Source organism: Homo sapiens, chromosome 3 (genome assembly GCF_000001405.40).
Source record: "Homo sapiens chromosome 3, GRCh38.p14 Primary Assembly".
Taxonomy (NCBI): domain Eukaryota; kingdom Metazoa; phylum Chordata; class Mammalia; order Primates; family Hominidae; genus Homo; species Homo sapiens.
Genome location: NC_000003.12, coordinates 140,889,725 through 140,897,282, shown reverse-complemented (window position 1 = coordinate 140,897,282; position 7,558 = coordinate 140,889,725).

Genomic DNA, 7,558 nt, shown 5'->3' with positions numbered 1-7,558 from the left:
TCTGAAACATACCCCATTGGCCCAAGAGCCTCCTCCCTCCCCCAGTTCTCTGCAGTGGCTGCAGCAAGCCCTGCCCAAGGAGAGTCTGAGTCAGACTTGCCTAACTCTTTCCCCACCTGATGGTCTTTCTCTACTTGCCCTGGTAGCCAATCACAAAAGACATAAATTCTTGGGAGCTTTATGACCCTGCCCCTTGCCTGAGAAACCTGAATACTTACACTGGCCAACTTAGGGCAAGCTTATATCCCACTTCTACTATTGCAGCTGGTGCACTCTTGAAAGTGCCATCTCTTGGATGGATGCCAACCAAGTCAGGACATTACAGCAACTCATGACAGAATAACCCTGCTCCAAGGAAGGAGCAAATAATAGCTAATTCAATTGCCTGCAACATCCTGGCTAACCAGAGATCCCGAGTCTGTCCATGGGACAATTTCATTGCTAGCATAACCAGCATATATTCAGCACGCTGAACATATCTACAACCAAGGACTCTCAAAGAGTCTACTTCATTCCCCCACCACCTTCACCAGAGCAGGTGCTGGTATCCACGGCTGAGAGAGCTGAAGATTCATGACATCACAGGACTCTTTGCAGACATTCCCCAGCACCAGCCCAGAGCCTGGTAGCCCCACTGGGTGGCTAGACCGTGAAGGGCAATAATAATCACTGCACTATGGCTCTCAGGAAGCCCCATCCCTAGGGGAAGGGGGAGAGCACCACATCAAGGGATCATCCCATGGGACAAAAAAATCTGAACATCAGGCCGTGAGTTCCAGATTTTTCCACTGAAATGGTGTACTCAAATGAGAAGGAACCAGAAAAGTAATTCTGGTAATATGACAAAACAAGGTTCTATAAAACACCGCCGAAAGATCACACTAGCTCACCAGAAATTGATCCAAATCAAGAAGAAATCTCTGAATTGCCAGAAAAAAAAATTCAGAAGGTTGATCATTAAGCTACTTAAGGAGATACCAGAGAAAGGTGAAAACCAACTTAAAGACATTCAGAAAACAATACAGGATATGGATGAAAAATTCTCCAGAGAAATAGATACCATAAAGAAAAAACAATCACAATATCTGAAAATGAAAGACACACTTAGAGAAATACAAAATGCACTGGAAAGTGTCAACAACAGACTAGAACAAGTAGAAGAAAGAACTTCAGAGCTCAAAGACAAAGCTTTCAAAGACAAAGACAAAGAAAAAAGAATTAAAAAATGAAGAAAGCCTCCAAGAAATTTGGGATTATGTTAAATGGCCAAACCTAAGAATAATTGGTTTCCCTGAGAAAGAGAGAAATCTAAAAGTTCAGAAAACATATTTGAGGGAATAATTGAGGAAAACTTCCCTGGACTCACTAGAGATCTAGACATCCAAATACAAGACATCCAAATACAAGACATCCAATACAAGTGTTTCCCAGGCAAAGAACACCTGGGAAATTCATTGCATAAAGATCATCATGCAGGCACATAGACATCAGATTATTTAAAGTAAAGACTAAGGAAACAATCTTAAGAGCTATGAGGCAAAACCATCAGGTAGCCTATGAAGGAAAACCTATCAGATTAACAGCAGATTTATCAGCAGAAACCCTACAAGCTCAAAGAGATAGGGGTTCTATCTTTAGCCCCCTCAAACAAAATAATGTCCAGCCAAGAATTTTGTATCCGGCAAAACTAAGCTTCATCAATGGAGGAGAGATAAAGTTTTTTTCAGACAAACAAATGCCAAGAGAATTCACCACTACCAAGCCAGCACTATAAGAAATGGTAAAAGGAGTTCTAAATCTTGAAACAAAACTTCAAAATACACCAAAATAGAAACTTCTTGACACATAAATCTCACAATAAAAACAATAATGATAATGCAACGAAGAAAAACCATCTGGCAACAACTAGATGATGAATGAAATAGTACTTCATATCTCAATACTAACATTTAATGCTCAACTTAAAATATACAGAATGTCAGAATGGATAAAAATTCACCAACCAAGTATCTGCTATCTTCAAGAGTTTCACCTAACACATAAGGACTCACATAAACTTGAGGTAAAGGGGTAGAAAAAGATATTCCATGCAAATGGAAACCAAAAGTGAGCAGGAGTAGCTATTCCTATATCAGACAAAACAGACTTTAAAGTAACAACAATTAAAAAAGACAAAGAGGGAGGTTATATAATGATAGAAAGATCGGTGCAACAGGAAAATATCACAATCCTAAACATATATACACCTAACACTGGAGCTCCCAAATTTATAAAACAATTATTACTAGACATAAGAAACAAGATAGACAGCAACACAATCATAGTGGGTGGCTTCAATACTTCACTTACAGCACTAAACAGGTCATCAAGACAGAAAGCCAACAAAGAAACAATGGACTTAAACTATACCCTAGAACGAATGGACTTAACAGATGTTTACAGAGCATTCTAACCAACATATACATTATTTTTATCAGCACATGGAACATTCTCCAAGATAGGCCATATGATAGGCCACAAAACAAATCTCAATAAATTTTAGAAAATCAGAATTATATCAAGTACGCTTTCAGACCACAGTGGAATAAAACTGGAAATCAACTCCAAAAAGAACCCTCAAAACTATAAAAACACATGGAAATTAAATAATCTGCTCTTGAATGATCTTTGGGTAAACAATGAAATCAAGATAGAAATTAAAACATTCTTTGAACTGAATAACAGTGACACAAGTTATCAAAATCTCTGAGATACAGCCAAAGCATTGCTAAAAGGAAAGTTCATAACATTAAATGCCTACATCAAAAAGTCTGAAAGAGCATGAATAGACAATCTAAGGTCACTCCTCAAGGAACTAGAGAAACAAGAACAAACAAACCCAAACCCAGCAGAAGAAAAGAAGGAAACAAAGATCAGAGCAGAACTAAATGAAATTCAAACAGAAAAGAAGAAAAGAAAGGAAGAAACAAAGATCAGAGCAAAACAAAATGAAATTCAAACAAAAAAATACAAAAGACTTAGAAACAAAAAGCTGGTTCTTTGAAAAAGATAAACAAAATTGATTGACCATTAGTGAGAGTAGCCAAGAAAAGAAGAGAGAAGATCCAAATATGCTCAATTAGAAACAAAACAAGAGATATTACAACTGATAACACAGAAATACAAAAGATCATTCAAGGCTACTATGAACACTTTTCCGTGCACAAACTAGAAAGTCTAGAGGACATGGATAAATTCCTGGAAATATAAAACCCTCCTAGATTAAATGAGGAAGAAATAGAAACTGTGAACAGACCAAATAGAAGTAATGACTGAAACACTGATAAAAAAAATACCAACAAAAAAGTTCAGGACCAGATGGATTCACAACTGAATTCTATCAGGCATTCAAGGAAGAATTGGTACCAATCTTACTGAAACTATTCCAAAAGATAGAGGAAAGAGAGAATCCTCCTTAAATCATTCTATGAAGCCAGTATCACCCTAATACCGAAACCAGGAAGGGACATTAAAAAAAAGAGAAAACTACAGACCAATATCCCTGATGAATATAGATGCAAAAATCCTCAACAAAATAGTAGGTAACCAAGTCCAACAGCATATCAAAAAGGTAATACACCATGATCAGTGGGTTTCATACCAAGGATACAGGTATGGTTTAACATACACAAGTCAATAAATGTGATACATTACATAAACAGAATTAAAAGTAAAATCATATGAGCATCTCAATAGAGGGAGAAAAAACATTTGAAAAAATCCAGTATCTCTTTATGAATAAAACCCTCAGTGAAATCGGCATGGAAGGGATATACCTCAAGGTAATAAAAGCCATCTATGACAAACCCACAACCAACATTATACTGAATGAGGAGAAGTTGAAAGCATTCCCCCTGAGAACTAGAACAAGACAAGGATGCCCACTTTCACCACTGCTATTCAACAGTGTACTGGAAGTCCTAGCCAGAGCAACCAGAAAAAAGAAATAAAGGGCATCTAAATTGGTAAAGGGGAAGTCAAACTGTTTCTGTTCACCAATGATAGGATTGTATACCTAGAAAACCCCAAAGACCCATCCAAAAAGCTCCTAGATCTGATAAATGAATTCAGTTAAGTTTCAGGATACAAAATCAATGTACACAAATCCGTAGCACTGCTGTACACCACCAACAACCAAGCTGAGAATCAAATCAAGAACTCAAACCCTTTTATAATAGCTGCAAAAAACCGACCCACCAACAAACAAAAACAAACAAACAAAAACAAACAAATGTAGGAATATACCTAACTAACGAGGTGAAAGATCTCTACAAGGACAACTATAAAACACTGCTGAAAGAAATCATAGATGACACAAACAAATGGAAACACATCCCATGCTCATGGATGGGTAGAATCAATATTGTAGAAATGACCATACTGCCAAAAGCAATCTACAAATTCAATGCAATTCCCATAAAAATACCATCATCATTCTTCACAGAACTAGAAAAAATAATCCTAAAATTCACATGAAGCCAAAAAAGAGCCCACATAGCCAAAACAAGACTAAGCAAAAAGAACAAATCTGGAGGCATCACATTACCCGACTTCAAACTATGCTACAAGCCTATCACCATCAAGAGAGCATGATATTGGTATAAAAATAGGTACATAGACCAATGGAACAGAATAGAGAATCCAGAAATAAAGCCAAATATTTACAACCAACTGATCTTCAACCAAGCAAATACATAAAGTGGGGAAAGAATATCCTATTCAAGAAATGGTGGTGGTATAATTGGCAAGCCACATGTAGAAGAATGAAACTGGGTCCTCATCTCTCACCTTATACAAAAATCAACTCAAGATGGATCAAATAATTAAATCTAAAACCTGAAATCATAAAAATTCTAGAAGATAACATAGATAAAAACTCTTCTAAACATTGGTTTAGGCAAAGAGTTCATAACCAAGAGCCCAAAAGCAAACACAACAAAAACAAAGATAAATAGATGGCACCTAATTAAACTAAAAAGCTTCTGCACAGCAAAAGAAAGAATCAGCAGAATGAACAGACAGCCCACAGAGTGGGAGAAAATATTCACGAACTATATATCCGACAAAAGACCAGTATCCAGAATATACCAAGAACTCAAACAAATCAGCAAGAAAAAAAGCAAATAATTTCATCAAAAAGTAGGCAAAGACATGAACAGACCTGTCTCTCTTTTTGAGACAGAGTCTCACTCTTATTGCCCAGGCTGGAGTGCAATGGCATGATCTTGGCTCACTGCAACCTCCGCCTCCTGGGCTCAAGTGATTTCTCCTGCCTCAGCCTCCCAAGTAGGTGGGATTACAGGCACATGCCACCATGCCCAGCTAATTTTTGTATTTTTATTAGAGACAGGGCTTCACCATGTTGGCCAGGCTGGTCTCGAACTCCTGACCTTAGGTGATCTGTCCACCTTGGCCTCCCAAAAGTGCTGGGATTACAGGCGTTAGCCACTGCACTGGGATGAATAGGCAATTCTCAAAAGAAGATATACAAACGTCTAACAGACATATGAAAAAATGCTCAACATCACTAATTATCAGGGAAATGCAAATCAAAACCACGATGAGATACCACCTTACCCCTGCAAGAATAGCCATAATTAAAAAAAAAAATGTTGGCATGGATATAGTAAAAAGGAACACGTTTACATTGCTTGTGGGACTGTAAACTAGTACAAGCACTATGGAAATCAGTGTGGGGATTCCTTAAAGAACTAAAAGTAGAACTACCATTTGATCCAGTAATCCCACTACTGGGTATCTACCCAGAGGAAAATAAATAATTAAATGAAAAAAAGACTTGCATACATATGTTTACAGCAGCACAGTTTGCAATTGCAAAAATATGGAACCAGCCTACATGCCCGTCAAGCAATGAGTGGATAAAGAAATATGATATATATATACACCATAGAATACTACTCAGCCATAAAAAGGAGTGAAATAATGGCACTGGCAGGAACTTGGGTGGAATTGGACATCATTATTCCAAGTGAAGTAACTCAGGAATGGAAAACCAAACATTGTGTATTCTCACTTATAAATAGAAGCTAAGGTATGACGATTCAAAAGCATAAAGAATGATATAATGGACTTTGGGGACTCAGGGGGATGGGTCGGAGGTGGCTGAGAGATAAAAGACTATATATTGGGTACAGTGTGCACTGCTGGGGTGATGGGTATACCAGAATCTCAGAAATCGCCACTAAAGAACTTTTCCATGCAACCAAACATCACCTGTTCCCCCAAAACTATTGAAATGAGAAAATAGAATAGATTAAAAAAAAAGTGGTCTTCATGGCTCCGGCTTTCCCTGCCCTCTTGTTTCTTTGTTTATAGGCCTCCTTGCTTGCTTGTTTTGGTTGCTGCCCTCATTGCTATCAGTACTGTCATCTCCAAACCTTGTCCCAATCCCCTAGAACTCCAAGTGCAATGCCTACTATGGGGTACCCTCAGCAGAAGGGATGGCAAAACAAACAAACAAACAGCCTTAAGTGAGCATGAGTATAACTTCAATAAAACACTGTGCATGTGGCCCCTCCCAAGTGCTGGCAGACCACTGTGCCTGCGGACAGCCCACCCCAAAGGAAGAATTAGGGGAGAAGGCCATGTCAAAGGCCAAATAGAGCACTTGAATCTCTCAGGATGCCCGCTGGGCCCCACTTCCAAGTGTACTTTACTGCCTTTTATTCCTGCTCTAAAACCTTTTAATAAACTTTCACTCCTGCTCGAAAACTTGCTTTAGTCTCTTCCTCTGCCTTATGCCTCTTGGTCGAATTCTTTCTTCTGAGGAGGCAATAATTGAGGTTGCAGCAGATCTGTATGCTGGTGCTAACAATTCTAATTTTTTACAGTTACTTTGGGTTTTCTATATAGACAATCATTTTATCTGAGAAAATGAACTCTTCCTTCTTACTCCTGTTTCTTTTTTCTTGGCTTGTACTAAGTCCCCTAATTCAGTGTAGCTGAGAAATAGTAATATTATGGACAAAATATCCTTGTTTTATTCCTGATTCAAAAAAAGGAACTTCTGTTTCATTATTAACTATAATGTTTACTGTAGATCTTGAAAGCACACTTTATCAGATTAAATAAATTCCCTTCTATTCCCAGTTTGCTGAGAATAGCAATTATGAATGAATTATGAATGAAGGTTGAACATGATCAAATGAATTTTTCTGCATCAATTAAGATGATCTTGTTTATCTTTTACTTTTTATTACAGAGATTTTCAAACATGCACAAAACTAGAGAGAATGTTATAATGAATACTCATGACCCATCACCCAACTTCACTAATTATCAATTTCCTGCCATTCTTGTATCATCTCTTCCCCATGCTTTTTTTTTTTTTGGAGTATTTGAAAGTAATTTCCAGGCATTTTATTATTTAATCTGTAAATATAGTAGTGTGTACCTCTAACAGATAGACTTTTCAGAAGCTTAGCCACAATACCCATGATCACACCATGATAACACCCCCAAATAATAATATTAATCTATTATACCTATTTATAATTTC